Source organism: Homo sapiens, chromosome 5, assembly GCF_000001405.40.
Source record: "Homo sapiens chromosome 5, GRCh38.p14 Primary Assembly".
Taxonomy (NCBI): domain Eukaryota; kingdom Metazoa; phylum Chordata; class Mammalia; order Primates; family Hominidae; genus Homo; species Homo sapiens.
Window position 1 is genome coordinate 73,031,573 of NC_000005.10, and position 20,172 is coordinate 73,051,744.

At 35.3% G+C, this 20,172-nt stretch overlaps 1 protein-coding gene across 9 annotated transcripts in view; it reads left to right on the forward strand.

Annotated features, from left to right (window-relative positions):
• Positions 1–20,172, forward strand: part of FCHO2 (FCH and mu domain containing endocytic adaptor 2) — a 134,482-nt gene that overhangs the window by 75,532 nt on the left and 38,778 nt on the right. For all 9 annotated transcript variants that reach the window (NM_138782.3, NM_001146032.2, XM_017009016.3 and 6 more), the window contains 4 exons: positions 3,085–3,129; positions 5,571–5,643; positions 9,719–9,743; positions 19,777–19,834. In NM_138782.3, the coding sequence (NP_620137.2) occupies positions 3,085–3,129; positions 5,571–5,643; positions 9,719–9,743; positions 19,777–19,834 (201 nt within the window). The remainder of the gene's footprint in view (positions 1–3,084; positions 3,130–5,570; positions 5,644–9,718; positions 9,744–19,776; positions 19,835–20,172) is intronic.

Sequence of the window (20,172 nt, forward strand, 5' to 3'; positions counted from 1 at the left end):
AACATCTTTTCAAAGTTTTAATCCAAATTAGGTTTGAATGGATTCTTTAGGTTGATGGCTTTTCTTATAGCATTTATTTATTCCTACCTGATGATTAAAGCATCATATTTAAGAATTGTTTTGCTTTGAATCATTGACCTCTTAGAGCTGTTCTTCTGTTCTATGAGTTTAATTGAACTCATAGTGGTGTTTTAAAATAATGTGTAAAAGAGCATCAGGAGACAGAGCCAAAATGGTTTTATTTGCTTTTATACAAACTAAATTGCCCTTGTGACCCAACATAAAATTTAAGTGCTAAGAGCAGTTATTTATTTTGACAAAAGAATTAATTGAGTCTAAAACAGTTAAAATTCCAGTTGTAGCAAACTATTCATTAAGACTCTCACTCTGGCTTTAGTACTGTCAAAAAAAATAACTTGTCTTATGATTAAATAGCAGAATGATGGGCAGTGGACTGCATTTGAAGGAGATGCTGAATAAACTTTCCACTTGTGAAACAGTTCAGAAGTGACATGCTACAGGGGGGGTCAGAATGTGCATTGATATCCAGCTGAGTTGTCAACTGGCACTGAGCCAGGCACGCAAAGCCTTGCCATGTGAAGCGGCATGTGGAGCATATGCCATTTGTAAAAGAAAATCTTGTTCATGCATGATTTAATGGTTTTTTTAAAAAGGTAGTATTTAGTTTTATTATGCCAGAAATCATTATTTCTATCTTTAATAGAAAAGTTTGTGTGGATGGTACTCAATTTAAAATTTTTAATATATATTTTTTGATTTGAAGTGATTTGGCATCTTTCAAAATGTGTTTTTTTTGGACATTTTTCTATTTCAAATGGATTTTAAGAGGATGTTTAGAAAACATAAGAGAAATCAAGATATGTTTACTATAGGAAAAGAGTTTTGTGAGAACAAAAAGGAGAATTTTGTTTAAAGGGACTGATTTTATGGAGTTAAGAGATGTCTTTACTGTTTTCACATGTATGAAGTCATCCAAAGATTTTACAAATCTTTTTTTCTGTATGTACCATATTTGCTAAGATGATGATGTAAAAGTCCTTCTAGATAATATATATTTAGTATTTGTAAACAAGGCAATTTGGCATTGGTGTTTTGTTTTTATGGTACTTACTTTTTTCTACTCTCTAGAGTAAGCGTGTGGCCTGAGCATTAGAGATTCTGTAAATAGTTAATGGGTAGAAATTATGTGGATGTGTAGCTGTAGGAGAATTTTTGACTAACCACATGCCTGATTGCCTTTTTTTGGTAAACCCTTTCTTGTCTCAACAGACGATTATATTTTCTCAAGCTTTATTAGTACTTGGAAAAGCCAATAATATATAATAAGCTGTTGGTAATTTAGGTAGAGATTTGTTATTCATAATTTTTATACTAAGTGAAAAGTTGCTAATTTGCACATCTCAATTTCTTTACCCTTATTGATTTTTCAGCCTGCCTTCATCTCATTGTAAATTGTTACGATAGGCCTCTAAGGGATTCTAAGAACAAGCTCAGTACCCTTTTATTAAATGATTTCTCAGCTTCCAGATTTGCAGAATGGGTTTGAATAAAGTCCTTAAATTTTTAATTGGGTCATTTTCTGACTCTTTAAGGCTTTTTTGGATAGAAGTGATAAACATTTTTTTTAGTCCTTGTTCATATTTAGAAGAATGTATTAGTAAGGAACATACTAATAATTGATTAGGACCTTGTTTATCAACTCACTTCTATGACTGTTTTATTCTGCTTATTAGTAAATGTTAATTTATTTTATTTGAATGGAAACTAGAACCACACAGAAATAAATCTTAGGTTTAGGGGGAGGGAGAGGGACATTAAGACAATATTTTTAGATCCCCCTATTTGTAGAGAAATCTTTCTTGTTAATCAATCAGTGGCTTTCTTTTTTAATGGAATGATCAATAATAATGCTGATCATGAATTTGTACATAGTTAAGCTTCACATCTCAGAAGAACCAGTAACAAAATCCTCTATCATCTACTCTCTGTTTCAAGCTCTATTTTAAAATTTCTTCATATAGCAAGTTATACCAGTTACCATTAATAAATTAAAAATTATTTCACAAAAAAAGCTAGACTTTCATGAATTTATATATAAAAAGTACTAAATGACAGCTTAGTGGGAGATAATTTTTTAGTCTCATATTTAGCTTCTGGGATATTTCATTAGGAGAGTAATTCATGTTTTGCTACTTTCTCACACTGCCAAATAATTTGATATTTCACATATATGAAGTATGCCATATTTTATGGCAATTAAGGCTAGTCTGAGCAGTCAGTCATTTCAGGGCTATTTTAATTGTTTTCTAATGATTTCCACTTTATCATCATCCTCTTCTACAATCTATCTCTCATAGCAATGCTAAATTAATTGTCCTTGAAGATCTCTTTGTGGGTGGATGTGTATGATCTTACATGAAAACTCTTCCTATTTCCTGTAAGCTGTAGTTCACATTCCTTGACCTGCTATACAGTTAGAGAGATCTGGATTATAATCCCAAGGTCACCACTTAACTAGTCTGTAATTAGTTCATTTATTCATTCAATAAATATTTACTTATTTACCCAACTTATTATTTACCTGGCATTTTTTAAGTATTGAAGATACAGTGATGAACAGGACAGATGAGGTCCCAAGCTTATGTTCTAGTAGTATTTACTATCTTGGTAGCCCTGTTCTTCCCATGAACACCACCGAGGATTCAGCAACCACCTTTACCATGCTTGTTTCCTCTCATTAACAGTACTGCCAGCTTCTTGAAAGCAGAAACTGCATATTCTTGTGTCTCTAGTTTTGTGGCATCATATGTAATTGGTTTTCAGTAAATTATTGTGATCATAATGGGCTAGTCTTGTTATTTTTCACTGTTAGAATTATTTGATTTTTAAAATTTATTGCTGATATTTTAATTATTAGGTAACAACTAGAACCATTTCAGAACAATTAAAAAGATGCGTTGTCAATTAAAAGTAGAATAAAAAATTTAAAATGTAAAAAAAAAGTTTTAAAATTTACCTAATAGTTTTTTTCTACTAGAAGTTTTTCAATTTCTTTTTTTCCAGGCCTCATTGAATTTGAAGAATGTGACACTGCTAGTGCAGTTGAAGGTAAGTTGATTAGTTATAATATGTTAATGCACATGGCAGCTAGCTAGTATCTTCTGTTCATTGAACAAATAAGGAGGGACTGCTATCCCTAGGTGTCAGCATACCTATGGAATGGAATGCTGTAAAAATCTGAAATTAGTTTGAAGGCCTGCAGATGCTACTTGCTGCTTAATAAATAACAGATTTTCCCAAAATAATATTAGTGTGTTAGATTATATATTTTTAAAGATTGAGTATAACATGCATTTGTTTTTAAATATACATTGAAATAGTTTTCTTCATTGACATCCATGTTTAAGCCTTGTTCCATGTTTAAGCCTTGTTAATCCATGTTTAAGCCATATTCAGGAATATGAAACTCATCTCTGTAATGTGTAGTGCTAATTGTACAGTGGGTAACATTTCATTAATTTATGTTAATATTACCATCATTTGGCTGGGCACAGTGGCTCATGCTTGTAATCTCAGCACTTTGGGAGGCTGAGGCAGGAGGATTACTTGAGTCCAGGAGTTCGAGACCAGCCTGGGAAACATGTTGAGACCCCATCTCTACAAAAAAACTTTTAAAATTAGCAGGTGTGGTGGTGTGCACCTGTAGTCCCAGCTACTGGGAAGGCTGAGGTAGAAGGATTGCTGGAGCCTGGGAGGAGGAGTCTGTGGTGAGCTGTGATTGTACCACTGCACTCCAGCCTGGGCGACAGAGTGAGACCCTGTCTCAAAAACAACAACAAAAACCCTTCTTGAATTTCTTCATCTGTAAGATGAGGGGCTAGCTTAAACCTAAGGTCTCTACTGCTCTCTTCTGTTTTTATTTTTTGGGAGACAGGGTCTCACTTTGTTTCCCAGGCTGGAATACAGTGGTACGATCTCTGCTCACTGCAGCCTCGACCTCCCAGATCCAAGCGATCCTTGCACCTCAGCCCCAAAATTAGCTGGGACTACAGGTATATGCCATCATGCCCAGCTAACTTTTGTATTTTTTTTAGAGAAAGGGTTTCACCATGTTGGCTAGGCTGGTCTTGAACTCCTGAGCTCAAGTGATCCATCCACCTTAGCCTCCAAAGTGCTAGGATTACAGGCGTGAGCCACCACACCCAGTCTCTACTGCTCAATTCTCAAAGAGTAAACACCTAAGTTTTAAGTGCTGAATTCTTTTTTTTGAGACGGGGTCTTGCTCTGTCACCCAGGCTGGAGTGCACTGGCGTGATCTTGGCTCACTGCATCCTCCGCCTTCTGGTTCGGATGATTCTCCTCCCTTAGCCTCCCAAGTAGCCGGGATTACAGGTGTGCGCCACTACGCCCGGCTAATTTTTTGTGTGTTTTTAGTAGAAACGGGGTTTCACCATGTTGGCCAGGCTGGTCTCAAACTCCTGACCTTAGGTGATCCGCCCACGTCGGCCTTCCAAAGTGCTGGGATTATAGGCGAGATCCACCACACCAGGCCTTAAGTGCTGAATTCTATCAAAAGTTAATAGCATGACTGGCCTTTAAAAATAATTTGTCATGAAAGAAGAGGATGCCTTATTAGGAAAATCAAAGATAATTTTTACTCCTCGGTTATGGTAGAATCCATTTATAGCATTGTTTGTATTAGGGACAACATTATGGACACAAGAATGCCATATTGTAAACTTACTTCTTTTTTGTTTTTTTGTTTTTTTCTGTTTCTGTTTTTTTCTTTTTAATTTTTGAGGTAGGGTCTCACTCTGTCACTCAGGGTGGAGTGCAGTGGTGTGATCACAGCTCACTGCAGCCTCCATCTCCTGGACTCAAGCAATCCTCTCACCCCAGCCTCCCGAGTAGCTAGGACCACAGGCGCGCACCACCACACCCAGCTAATCTTTTGTATTTTTTTGTAGAGACAGGGTTTCACCATGTTGCCTAGGCTGGTCTTGAACTTCTGAGTTCAAGTGATCTGTCCGCTTTGGCCTTCCAAAGTGCTGGGATTATAGGCATGCATCACTGCACCTGGCCCCATATTATACTTCTAATGGGTCTGCTGTATCATCTTTTTATCTAAAACAATAAAATTATATTTTGTGGCCCTCTAAAAAGCAAACATGATTTGACCTTTATAACATTATTTGACGTTTATAACAAAATTTAGTATAATGAATAATGTACTTTCTTTGAAGTTTTAAGATATCTCCATATGCTTATTATGTGTAAGGTGACTTAAGGGAGGCTTAGGAAAAGAAAAGAAAATTTTATCTATAAAGTAAATGTTCTATGATCTTTTGATAAACAATAGACTATGTTTTATTAACATAAGAAAAGTCTAACCAATAGGGTTGAGTGGTTGCTAACTTTATTTCTGTCATCCACATTTAGCATCAGCAGTTATGAGCAAATTATGTGTGAGGATGCAAGATGTATCCATAAGTTTAATATGTTTATCAGGAATGTTTATGTTTCTGTAACAATATATATTTATTTTAAAGGTATAAAACCAAGGAAAAGAAAGACCTTTGCTTTGCCAGGAATCATTAAAAAGGAAAAAGATGCAGAATCTGTGTAAGTATTTTAAATATCGTCAAAATCCTTTTTGTTTTTATAAGTGATTAAGAATAAGACTTTTGAATTTGGAAAGAAAAAAGTATTTTGGAAATAACTCAAAAGTATATGTGTAAGGTGTGAAAAACAAGCCTTTCTAAATATTAATAAATACATTTGCCAATTCCTCTGGTTTTAGATCAAAGTATTATTAATTATTTGAAAATGTTAAGACATTATAGACAAAAGCTTTAATGTCTAGAAATGGAAAGTTTTGAAATATCCTTATTTTTGTAAAATGATAAATGCATATTTTAAAAAATTAAAAGTGCAAAGAAAACTAAAAATTCATCAAAGTCTTAATGCCTAAGAGAAAATCTCTGGTCAACTATTTGATGAAAATCCTTCTAGACAATTCTGAGTGTACAGGCACATGGTGATACCTATACATACATTGATGGAAAATGTTAAATAGGGGAGAGAAAAGCCCTAACATTTTACCATTTATACTAGGTCATCATTTTTAGATGGAATATTTGGTCCACTTATAAGTCTGATTTACCTTCTTTTTTTTTTTTTGAGATGGAGTTTCACTGTTGTTGCCCAGGTTGGAATGCAATGGCGCGATCTTGGCTTACTGCATTCTCCACCTCCCAGGTTCAAGCGATTCTCCTCCTACCTCAGCCTCCCAAGTAGCTGGAATTACGGCGCCCACCACCACATCTGGCTAATTTTTTGTATTTTTAGTAGAGACAGGGTTTCACCATATTGGCCAGGCTGGTCGCGAACTCCTGACCTCAGGTGAACCACCCGCCTCAGCTTCCCAAAGTGCTGGGATTACAGGCCTGAGCCACGCGCCCGGCCTGATTTACCTTCTTTTAAAAATAAAAAATTAATATACAAAGAATATGTAATAAACATGTAAGAAATTGAGTTTAGATTAGCTAACTAAAGTTTTTGTTTGTTTGTTTGTTTTTTACTTTGGCTACACATTAGAACTACCTGGGAAATTAAAATAAATACACCTATGCCAGGTCCCACCTCAGATCAATTAAATCAGATTCTCTAAGCATGAAACCTCAACATAGGTTTTGCTCTTTTTTGTTTTAAGCAGCCCCTTTGATTCCTAATGTATACCTGGGGTTAAGAATCTTTGAGCCGTGATTATTCAGAGACAAACTAGAATTAAAAGAATCTTTCTTTCAATGATTACTCAGTCCATTTAGATTGAAGAGACACCGATCAAAAGTCTTGAGTCAAAACAACAAAAAAATTTGTTGACCCACCAACATTGACTGAAAATTAGTTTAAAAACCCAGCTTCCCTAGCATAATCAAAGGAATTCTCATGAGATTTAATATTTGATGGGCACTCATATTTTTAACATAAGAGAACAGTTTGTGCTTTGGGTATTCTTGCTTTCTACCTAGTTATATTTCTATTTGAGTTTCCTAGAATTTCTTTCATTTTAAATGACTCTCTTCCCCTCTCCCAAGTAGTATTTGGTTAACAAATCAAGACCAATTGCAAAGTCATCTATATCTATAGTTATCAAATCTTCTGCAAATGTCTTTCTTGAGCATTTATGAAGGGTATATTTTTAAGGGGGTGAAACCTAATCTATTTTATAATATTAGCAATACATATTGAAATCTGATCAATTGATTAGTAAGTAAATGTTTAAAATATATCTAGTTCATCTGTTAGTGGCTATATTGTAAAGAATCATGGCCTTAAATTATTTTTATAATGTATAGGTTTCATTACTGTTCATGTAGGGAGCTTATAGTATTTTTTAACCAGGTTTTTAAAACAGTTTTCCTTATCAATAATTTCCCAATATGATATTAAGCCACTTAGGGTGGTTTTTTGTTTTTGTTTTTTAACCAATGGCAATAGTAGAGCAGAAAGCCACTGCTTAAACCACTGTACCATCATCACCTTCTTTCAAACTTCTTGGCAGGAAAAAATGTTAGAATTCACTTTGCCTGAAATGCCAGAGGCTCTTGGCATGCCTCTTCATAGCCTGAAGGCTTTTGAGATGCTAGTAATTGTGGGAGACAGGCCCTTTTCAGAGCTTCCTCTTCCTGGAGCTTCATCTGCAGGTGTCATACAGCCCACTGTGAGGGCAAACAGATAAGTACTTTACCCCAATGACTGGAGTGTTTTGGCCTAAAGCCAGAGAATAAACTCTTTGGAACTTTAACACTTCCTTTTATGTTCAAACTGCATCTTTTTTAAAAAAAGAAGAAAGTAGAAATGTTCTAACATCTTGATTAATTTGATTCTCTAGAAGGATTGGGTTATTATTATTATGCCTTTTCTGGAACATTTCTTCAGATTATGCATAAGTTTAGAAAAATATAATGTTTCTCATCTACCAGTAAGGAAGCTGTATTTCAAAATGTGCAATTTTAAATGACTTTTAAGTGGATAGAAAGTCACCTGGGGGGCCAGGCCCGGTGGCTCATGCCTGTAAACCCAGCATTTTGGGAGGCCGAGGAGGGTGGATTACTTGAGGTCAGGAGTTCAAGACCAGCCTGGCCAACATTGTGAAACCCTATCTCTACTAAAAATACAAAAATTAGCCAGGTGTGGTGGTACACACCTGTAATCCCGGCTACTTGAGAGGCTGAGGCTGGAGAATTGCTTGAACCTGGAAGGCCGAAGTTGCAGTGAGCCGAGACGATGCCACTGAACTCCATCTAGCCTGGGTGACAGAGTAAGACTCTGTGTCAGAGAAAAAAAGAAAAAAAAAAAAAGAAGAAGAAAGAAAGTCACCTGGGGTTTGCATTTACCCTGTCTCTTTGGTACTTCGTTTTGGATTAAGAGCAATGTAGTCATCTTCCTCCTTTTTAATTTTTTCAGTCTGTTTTATCCTATTTTCCTTTAAGAAAATTCTTCAATTTTGTAGATTCTTCTGGTGTTTGCTTAGTATTTGGATAAATGGCGTTTATCTGTTTGTATAAGATTTTGACACACATTGCGTATCCTTTGAAATGCTTGAGACCAGAAGTGTTTTGGATTTCAGATTTTTTTGGATTTTGAAATATTTGCAGAATACATCCAGTTGAGTATTCCTAAACCGAAAATCCCAAAGCCAGAATGTTCCAATGAACATTTTGTTTGAGCATCCTGTTAGTGTTCAAAAACTCTCAGATTTTGGAGCACTTTGGATTTCAGATTTTTGGATTAGGGATGCTCAGCCTGCTTTGTGTGCATTAACTGTCACAAGTCAGAGGTCCAAAAACCTTTTAAGTCTGCGCTCTTAATTTTTGTTTGTGAATTTATTTTAGAGTGCATACATGGAAATTCTTCTAACCTCATTTTTAATGACCTCACTGTCCTTAGTTGTACATATTTAGGTCTTCTTTATAAACATAAACATAGTTTTACATTTTAAATAATACTTTTCACTAGTGTATATGCAAATTCAATACTTGTTTATCAGTTAAATGATAGAATTTCAGTTCTCAACTACATATTACATTACATAAGAAAGTTATCCAACTGGAAGTCTACTCAGTATATTTGGAAAAAACTAGCTTTAACTTTTGTATCTACTAAGTTATGGAAAGTACTTCAGATGAAACTGAAGTGTTTAAAAATTGTATTTTTTCCAGTAGTTTTGGGTTTTCAGACTACTTGCTACTTAATACTGACTTTTTTTTAAAGTCAAGCTTTCTTCTTTAAGGACATTTTTTTAACTTGCTTTACTTGAATGAAAAGCCATTAGAAAGCCTTGTAGGACTGACAGCTTTCTTGATGTGTGAGTATATTCATGGAAAAGAATTATTTTTCAAAATAGGTTTTTGAATATTTATAAGCTCTCAAAGCATAATGTAAGCTGTTAGAAAAAAAGGAATACTTGTAAGCTGTTTGTTTTTTATTTTGTCAGGTGGTATGGGTATAAGAATGCCTTTTTTGAATTTTAAAATAATTTGGTATGTTTTAATCTTCATGGTTTGATTTCTCTGAATATTTTTTGTAGAGTTTAAATAAAAGCTATATTTAAGTACCAAAGTAAATACTTTAAACAAGCATAATTAGCAGACAATTCTAATTATTGAGTATTTCTGATATTTTGTTTTAATAGGGAATGTCCTGATGCAGATTCATTGGTAAGTAGATTTAACTTTGATATAAACAATTTAAATTAGTTATTTTCATTAGGACAAACCTAACACATTTGAGTTGAGTTGTTACCAGTCTTTCAAAGAAAAATACCATCATATTGTAAATTCACTATTAAAATTATTTTACAGATGCATTTTTGGATTTACATTGCCAGATGCTTTCCTATTAAATAGAAAGTATTTCTAACCACCTTTGAAGAGTGGACATTTTACTTTTAAAATTGGAGTGGTGCCATATCATTCTGTTTTTTTCTTGGGAAACATGCCAGAAATCAAATCTGTATACTTTATTTTAAAATGTGGTGTTCTTACTAATTTATTCTTAGCTCTATTAAAATACAACATTGTGCGTGCATTTGAGTTCATTTAAGAGCTTGTCATTTTAGAAATAACAGCAACAAGAACCATGGTCAGTACTTTTCTGTGCTTTTTGTTTTATTTTAAAGAAGGGTTGCTTATATTTCTTGATTAAATGTATTTCTTTATGTGTAATTAAAGAAGACATCAAATGGAGCTCCCTTTGGTTACAGTGAGAGAGTAGATTTACCAAATGCTGTTAAGTAATGTGTAGACAGACATATTTTTCAAAACTGTTCATTAGATACCGTTCATGTTGATAAGTATAGGGGTTTCAAACAATCTCTGTCCTTTGCTTATTGTTCTTACCTGCGTAACTATTGTTTCCTTTGATCCCAAAACATTTTGATCTTTTACAGCATCATAGTGTAACAAAATAACTAAAAATATTTTGTGAAACACTGTGTTTTATGTTACTTAACTAAGATAAAATTAGTATTTTGTTTTATATTTTGGCCTTAAAATACAATTATGATTTGTTAACAAATTTATATGAAAAATAAGAAATAGACTTATAATGAGTTACGGGGTTAAAACCATCAGTGTATTTTTGGAGTTACAATGTTTACCTTACCACTTGGTTACTCTGTTTGATACCCTTGGTTAACTAATTAATGAAAAGCAGCAGATGTGTTTGGCATTAACTTTAGTACTCATTTTATTTCTGCATTATTTTTATGCATTTTATTTCTGAATTATTTGTAGCATTAAATTGATGATGTAAAATTAAATACAACTTTAATACTTCATGTTTTAGTTTACATATATTCCTTTTAAATAAAACATTTTTAATTCAGTAACTGATACTATTTTATAATGATCAATATTATCCAATTTTGAACTTTACTTAGTACTTATCCAGAATACAAAAGAATACAGAATTCTAATACTGAATAAGAAGTGATTGATGAATTTGACTGTGTAGAAATGAAAAATATATAAAACTAGAAAAAATACGTTATAAAAGGATTTGAATTATCAGAGACTGGCAGAGCATCTTTGCAAGACGTGACAGGGGTTAATTGCTTTCATTTATAAAGTTTATATGCAAATCAATACAGAAAATAAGTGGGTGCCTAGTAGGAAAAGGGCATAGGATAAAAATGGTCAATTTTCATAAAAAGAAATAAAAGTGATAACCATAATAAATATTGCTCAAAATAGTGGTGTTCTTCTGGTGGAAATTAGAATGAATTTAGTCTAGTGTCTAATCATATTGGCAAATTTCTTTTCAATTTAATTTTTTGTTTTTTAATTTGGAAACAAGGTCTCACTCTGTTGCTCAGGCTTGAGTGCCGTTGTGTGATCATAGCTCACTGTAACCATGAACTCCTGGGCTCAAGCAATCATCTTGCCTCAGCCTCCCATGTAGCTGGGACTACAGGCACATGTCACCATGCCCAGCTGATTTCTTAAACCTTTTTTTTTTGGTAGAGTTGGGGTTGTGTTGCCCAGGCTGGTCTTGACCTCCTGGCTTCAAGCCATTTTCCTGCTTCAGTCTCCCAGAGTGCTGGGATTACAGGTGTGAACCACTGTTCCTGGCCAACAAAGGTTTTGATATGCTCATACTGTTGGTAGGAATGTAAATTGATACTGTCTGTCTTGTGGATAGTTTGGCAGTATTGCCCCAAAAAAGAAATGTGAGTTCATTTTTGACCATGCCATCTCCCTGCTAGGAATTTACTGTTACAGTTATAGTAACAAAACTTTACACACACACATACACACACACACACACATTGTATTAGTGTGTATATGTGTGTGTATACATATACACACATATATAAAGTATATATGTTTGTACACATGCAGACACACTTGATCAAGATTCATGCATATATAGAAAGTGATAAATAGATATTTATTTCAACATTGTTTATATTAGCAAAAAACTGGAAACATCAAAGCATCCATCAAAATGGGAACTGGTTAAATAAATTGGTGGGGTAATAGATGTTATAAAGGATTAAGTTGATCTGTGTCTGCTGATATGGAAAGAACTTAATAAAAGCAAGTATGATATTTTAAGTGATTGCTGTTTTAAAAATAAGATAAATATGTGGATATATGTATTATATTTATTTTAGAAGAATGAGTTACAAGGTACTTTACTTGTGGATACCTTTGGGGCCAAGAATTACAGTGATCAGTAGAGAAAGGAGACTTGTTTTTACTTATTTTATTTTGAGATGGGGTCTTGCTCTGTGGCTGATGTGACTTGGATTTGTGTCTCTGCCCAAATCTGTTGTCAAATTGTAATCCCCAGTGTTGGAGGAAGGGATTGGTGGGAGGCAATTGGGTCAGGGGATAGATCTCCCCCTCGCTGTTCTCGTGATAGTAAGTGAGTTCTCACTTGTTGTTTGAAAGTGTGTAGCATCTCCCCCTTCACTCTCTTCCTCTTACTCTGGCCATGTAAGATATGCTTCCTTCCTCTTTGCCTTCCGCCATGATTGTAAGTTTCCTGAGGCCTCCCTAGCCATGCTTCCTGTACAGCCTGTAGAACTGTGAACCGATTAAACTTCTTTTCTTTATAAATTACCCAGTCTCAGATAGTTCTTGATAGCGATGTGAGAACAGACGAATACAGTCACCCAGGCTGGAGTGCAGTGGCAACGATCATAGCTCACTTCAGCCTCGACCTCCCAGGCTCAGCCATTCCTCCCATTCCAGCCTCCTGAGTAGCTGGGAACACAGGCATATGCCACCATGCCTGGCTATGTTTTTTCATTTTTAGTAGAGGCAATGTCTCACTATGTTATCCAGGCTTGTTATTTTCTTTTATTTGTAGCCTATAAATAATAACTTACGGCCTATTCATGGCTTCCTCTTACTAATTATTTTTTAAAACATCAATAGGCTATCATGGTAGGGAAATTATTGTTCATTTCTTATTCCTTTCTTTAAAGGTCTATGTAATTTAAAAAATTATTTTTAGCAACTGCATCTTTTGAAAGTTGGCCAAGGAAGTGTAATTGCTCTTTTTTTCTTTTTTCTTTTTCTTTTTCTTTCTTTTTTTTTGGTTTTGGCCTATGTCCACATTCCAAACAGAAATTAAGAAACATTTCATTGACTCTTGAGCTCCATTCTGGTATATATTTTTTAAATTGCCACCACTACTTTAGCCAGAGTAAACAACTGCCTTTAAGATTGATGGGTGAAGTTGCCTGTTCTATTCTTGTTCATACTGCTTTTGACCTAGGGCTTCACTCCAGCTGTATGGGCCCTAATATAGAAATCATGGATTGAATGGGTAAAGATGAACACAGGTAATGGGTACGTTTTTATTAATATCAGGTTTCTGTGCATAGTTCTAGCAGTAAAAAGATAGTACACTGAGAATCACTGCTTTTAAGAAAAACTTTTTATTTTGAAATAAAGATGCATAGAAGGTTGCAAAGATGGTGTATGTAACAGTACTGTGTACTTGTTACCCCTTCTTCCTGACACTAACATTTTACAAAACTGTCATGTAATATCACAACTGAAATATTGACACTAATTCAATCAAAATAGGACATTTTCATTAGCACAACAATCTCTCATGTTGGTTGCCCTTTTACAGCCACTTTTCCTTACGCCTTCCTTAACTTCTGGCAACCACTAACCTTTTCTTCATTCCTATAATTTTGTCAATTCAAGGTTGTTCTGTAAGTGAAATCATACAATATGTATGCTTTTGAGATTGGCTTTTTTCCACTCAGCACAGTTCTTTGGAGATGTATCCAGGTTGTGGTACATATGAATAGTTTATTTTTTATTGCTGAGTAGTAGTCCCTGTTTTGGATGTACTAAAGTTTGTTTAACCACTCACCCATTGTAGGACATTTTGGTTGTTTTTCAATTTTTGGCTATTAGAAATAAAGTTACTATGAACAATTGTGTACAGGTTTTTGTGTGGACATAATGTTCCTCTCTGACCCTGATAATGTTCTTTATGAAATCTACTTTATCTAACATAAAGACAGCCTCTTTTCCCCTTTGTTATTATTCATGTTTGCCTAGTATAATTGTTTCCATCCTTTTTCTTTCAACCTAACTATATTGTTATATTTGAAGTGAGTTTCTTATAGACAGCAGATAGTTTGATTATGTTTTTAAAAATCCATTCTGCCAATCTCTGCCTTTTAATTGATATATTTGGACCATTTATATGTAATGATATTGTCAGATTTTAAGATTGCCATTTCTTGTTTTGTTTGTTCCTCTGTTTTTGTTTCATTTTGCTTTTTTCTTGCCTTTCTGTAGGTTATTTGAATCCTTTTTTAGAATTACATTGTGACTTTATAGAGTTTTTCAGTGAATCACTTCGTAGAGTGATTTTAGTTGGTGCTCTAGGTCATTTTCCATTACCTCCAGCTGGTTGTTTATGGTGGTTTTTTTGTTTTGTTTTTAATAGAGCTAGGTTCTTGATCTGTGGCCCAGGCTGGAGTGCGGTAGCACAATCCTAGCTTACCACAGCCTTGAACTCCTTGGCTCAAGTGATCCTTCCTGCCTGAGCCTTCCAAGTAGCTAGGACTACAGGCATGTGCCACCATACCCAGCTAATTTTTTTATTTTTGAGTAGAGACAAGGTCTTGCTATATTGAGCAGGTTGGTCTTGAACTCTCGGCCTCAAGTGATCCTCCTGTTTGACCCCCCCAAAATGCTGGGATTATAGGCCTGAGCCACCGTGCCTGGCCTGTTGATGTTTTGATCAGAATTTATCGTTGTAGTCTACAGGAGGTTGGTCCAAAAGCTGCTTACTCAGCCATATAGAAAACAGCTTGGTATTATTAAATTATTACATTGTGCATTTAGTGTATTCTCTAAACAAATGGTGTATTCTAAACAAATTTAAAGTAGTCCATTGTTAAATTTGAGATAGAACCTCTGGGAGACTAAATACCTGGTGTGTTTTTAGGGTACTTGGAATGGGGACAAAGTATTTTGAAAAAAACCTTTCATTCTGATTTCTAAAAGATTCACAATTAGCAAAGTTTCCTTATTTTTAAAGTATTTTAAAGTGATATTTGCATATTAGCAAGCAGTAGAAAGAAAGGGCTCTACCTTCAGTGTTAAAAATATGGCCTTTGTCATCTTTTTATCCGTGGAATCTGCTCTTCACCCTACATTAGGTTTTTTATTTCTAGTTTTTAATTCCATCTGTTAACTCACTGCTAGCTACATTAGACTGTTTATTTAGTCTGGAAGTGATAGTCACATAAATGCTGCCCTCAGTTCTCCCTAACCTTGTGTTGTGCCTGCCTTCACAGTTCTTCATATCTTTCTTGCTGAGCTTTAGAAAGTGATTAGAAGAACAGAATACCTTACCAGTAAAAGGATTTTTGCTGCAATTCCTTGGCAGCCTTTTCTTTCCATTAAAATTTTTTTGAAATTTGGAAATCATTTCTAACTTACAAAATTGCAAGAATGAAATAATACGAAGAACACTTGTATGCCCTTTATTTTTGTCACATTTGCATTCTCTCTCTGTTTGTGCATGTGTTTATATGTGTATAATATTTTTTCTGATCCATTTGAGCACAAATTAAATATATTCTGGCCCTTTGTCTCTAAATACTTAAGTATATGTTGTCCCAAAATTTCAAATATTCCATTATCTAACCACAAAAACACATTCAGAGAAGTGTTCGTCTTTCCTGTGTCCTTCTACCCCATTGCCCTTCCTTGTAGGTAACCAACTTTATTGTGTTCTAATTATCCTTTCTGTAGTTTTTTTTTTTAAACAAAGATAAGCAGATGTATGTTTGTGTTCTTATTTGCCCTTCTTACTTAAAAGTTATAATACTATATATGTTCTTTACTACTTGGCTTTTTAAAAATTAGCAGTATTTCCTGGCAATCACTCCATATTAGTTCATAGAAACTTTTTTCCTTTTTTTTTTTTTTAACAGCTACATAGTATAATCGTTCCTCAGTGTCCTTGCAGGATTGGTTCTAGAACCCCCTGAGGATACCAGAATCACTGAATGCTCAAGTCCCTTACATAAACTGTCATAGTGTTTATATATAACCCACACATATCCTTTAAGTCATACTTTAAGTCATCTCTAGACTACTTATAATACCTAATACAATGTAAATGGATATTGTAAATAGTTGTTTTACTGTGTTTTTTAAAGATTCATGTTTTGTGTATTTTTATTTTTTATTTATTTATTTATTTCGAGACAGAGTCTTGCTCTGTTGCCTAGGCTGGAGTGCACTGGCACCATCTGGGCTCACTGCAACCTCTACCTCCCAGGCTTAAGCGATCCTCCCACCTCAGCTCCCTAGTAGCTGGGCTGCAGGTGCATGCCTCCATGCTCAGCTGATGTTTTAATTTTTTGTAGAGATGAGATATGACTATATTGCCAGCTCTACTGCTGGTCTCGAACTCCTGGGCTCAAGCAATCTTCCTGCCCTCAGCCTCCTGAAGAACTGGGGTTACAGTCATGAGCTACCACAATCAGCTTATTTTTTATTTTTTTTAAATATTTTTGCCGGGCACAGTGGGTCATGCCTGTAATCCCAACACTTTGGGGGGCCGAGGTGAGCAGATCAACTGAGGCCAGGAGTTCGAGACCAGCCTGGCCAATATAGGGACACCCTGTGTCTATTAAAAATACAAAAATTTTCTGGGTGTGGTGGTAGGCGCCTGTAATCCCAGCTGTTAGGGAGGCTGAGGAAGGAGAATCACTGCAGGAGGTGGAGGTTGCAGTAAATTGAGATTGGGCCACTGCACTCCAGCCTGGGTGACAGAGTGAGTCTCCATCTCAAAAAACTAAATAAATAAAATAAAAATATTTTCAATCTGCGGTTGGTTGAATACATGCAAATACTGAAACCGAACCTGCAGATATGGAGGAATGGCTTTACCCATTTTGTGTATGTACCATAGTTTATTCAGCTGTGCTTGGACATTTAGGTAATTTCTAATAATTACAGGTTATAAATAATCTTCGATGAATAACCTTGTGCATATATATTTTTAAATAGTTGGAGCTGTGTCTTCACGGTAAATTTCTAGAAATGGGATTCCTGGGTAAAAGAGTGAATATATATGTAGTTTTGTTACACATTGCTGAGTTTTTCTCTGTAGGGGTTGTGCCAATTATTGTATTAATACCCACAAAGTATGAATATGCCTTTCCCCTGCAGCTTCACTAACAGAGTATATTTTCAAGCTTATGAATTTGCTATCTTTTTTTTTTTTTTTTTTTTTTTTGAGACGGAGTCTCGCTCTGTCGCCCAGGCTGGAGTGCAGTGGCGCGATCTCGGCTCACTGCAAGCTCCGCCTCCCGGGTTCACGCCATTCTCCTGCCTCAGCCTCCCGAGTAGCTGGGACTACAGGCGCCCGCTACCACGCCCGGCTAATTTTTTGTATTTTTAGTAGAGACGGGGTTTCACCGTGTTAGCCAGGATGGTCTCGATCTCCTGACCTCGTGATCCGCCCGCCTCGGCCTCCCAAAGTGCTGGGATTACAGGCGTGAGCCACCGCGCCCGGCCTGAATTTGCTATCTTAATGTAGTTTTAATTTTCTTGGTAGTCTTTTATTTCTCATTTTGTTTGTTTTTTGCTTATGGTTTATATTTACACTCTCAGTCCTTTTGCTTCACCACACCACACCCCAAGATACACGTAGCCTTAACCTTTTATTTCTTTACTTTGAGGATTTGAATGAAAAATTTATGGTCCACAAAGCTGCTGGCATTCCTACCCAAATACCTGTTTTCTTCCTTTTATTTTTTCCTAGTCCTTGAGGAACAGGGAGGGGCCTTTTTGTCTTATCCTGTTTTTTCTTGACTCTTAGAGTACCTTGTTCTCATTTTATCTCACATATTTGTGATATCTGTAGTATTTATTGGCTCCTCTTCTGCTTTTAGGCATGCCCAGTTTTCTTTAACTTGAAAAAAACCTTTTTCTGAACACCTGAACTGAATGTTTGTTTATCTTTCTTTGACTTTGTGTATGTTATTTCTCCTTGTTTGCAGTGTTCTTTCAACTTATGGGAATTTTATGATGTGACCAGAAAACCCCTTCTTGAAGCTGTTAAAATGCATTAAAACTAATTTCTGAGTTATAATATTTAGGCAACTTCTGCTGTTTTTAATACTCCCAGCTAGATTATTTTTATCTTTTTATTTTGAAGAATTCTAAACAAATTGTGTGTGTGTGTGTCTGTGTGTATACACACATATACATATATATACACATAGATATATACATACATATACATATACATATAAATACCATCATGGTCTCTCATTTTGGGGTCTCATCAGTCAGCCCCAGCAGCTTGCCCCAGCCAATCCTGCCCATCCATTTCCTCTGCCCAAATTCTAGAATATTATAATTTCATCTGAATTTACATTATATATATCTTTACACTTGATCTTAGCCAAAAGGCCAAGAAGCGATACATCATATATATCTTTAAAACATAATCACAATATCATCACATCTAGAAATAATTTATTACTCCTTAGTATTTTGAAATAACCATTCAGTATTTATCATCTTTGATGTCCATTTTATTATGCTTTGTTTGAATTTGTTGATATGTCTTAAGTCTCTCTTGATCTACAGGTTCCCCTTCCCTCCCTCCCTCTCTGTTTAGCTTTCTGCTATTTATTTATTTATTTATTTATTTATTTATTTATTTATTTATTTTGACAGAGCTCGCTCTTTTGCCAGGCTGGAGTGCAGTGGCGTGATCTCGGCTGACTGCAACCTCTGCCTCCTGGGTTCAAGCAATTCTCCAGCCTCAGCCTCCAGAGTAACTGGGATTACAAGCATGCACCACCATGCCCAGCTAATTTTTGTATTTTTAGTAGAGATGGAGTTTCACCATTTTGGCCAGGATGATCTTGATCTCTTGACCTCATGATCCACCCGCTTCAGCCTCCAAAAGTGCTGGAACTACAGGCGTGAGCCACTGCACCGGGCCCGCTTTCTGTGTTTTTATTGGCAAGACTAAGTGGTTTGTTTTATAGTTTCCTTTAGTCTGGATTTTGCCGATTATATTGCCATACTGTATTATGTTTTACTTCTTTATATTATTTAAATTGGCATTTGGATCTAGAGGCTTGATCAGATCCAGGTTCAAGTTTTTTTTGGTCTTGTTTTATTTTGTCAGGGCTGCCTCTCTCATGACACACATGGTGTCTGGTTGTCACTCTTTATGGCATGTTGGCAGACATTGATGGTTTGTCTTAGATAGTTTTACTAGTTCACCCAGACTTAAACTGCATAAGGAGGTGCTAGATCTTATATTTCCATACAGCTTATAGCAATAAGAATATTTAGCTTGATAATAGCTTTCAAATCACATGTACTTTTTAAACTAACTTATTCTTCCTCATTTATAACAGAAACTGTAGATTTTGAGCAATCTGAATTGGTCCCCACCTCAGTGATTTCTTGCCCTGAAATTATGAGTTGTGTTTCTCCTGTTTCATTTTGCAGGTCTTTCCTCTTTCAGGTAGCCAGAGCATGGAGTGTGATTTGAAGCTAATTAACTAAAAAGGTGTAATTTTTCTTCGGTGTTCATCATTTCATTAACCTGTTGATATCTGAGAAGCGGTTTGGTTCCTAAGTAATACCTGAGGCTACTTTGATAATCTCTAATAATTTTGTACATTGGAGTTGTCATTATAATTTTTTTTTCTTTTTCCCTTAGAACATTCCTGATGTAGATGAAGAAGGCTACAGTATTAAACCAGAAACAAATCAGAATGATATCCTTTCATCATCTAGTATTCTTAAGGATTATGTTGGCATATAAGTAGGCAGTTATAAGAAAATCATGTATTAAAGCCTCTTCCAATTTTTTATTAATTATAAAATATGGTTCCTTGTTTGTCATTTGACATGTTTTTTGTTGTTGTTGTTTTTTGTTTTTTTTGGGTTTTTTTTGAGACAGAGTCTCGCTCTCTTGCCCGGGCAGGAGTGCAGTGGCACAATCTCAGCTCACTGCAGCCTCTGCCTCCCGGGTTTCAGCGATTCTTCTGCCTCAGTCCCCCAAGTAGCTTGGATTACAGGCATGCGCACCATGCCTGGCTAATTTTTGTATTTT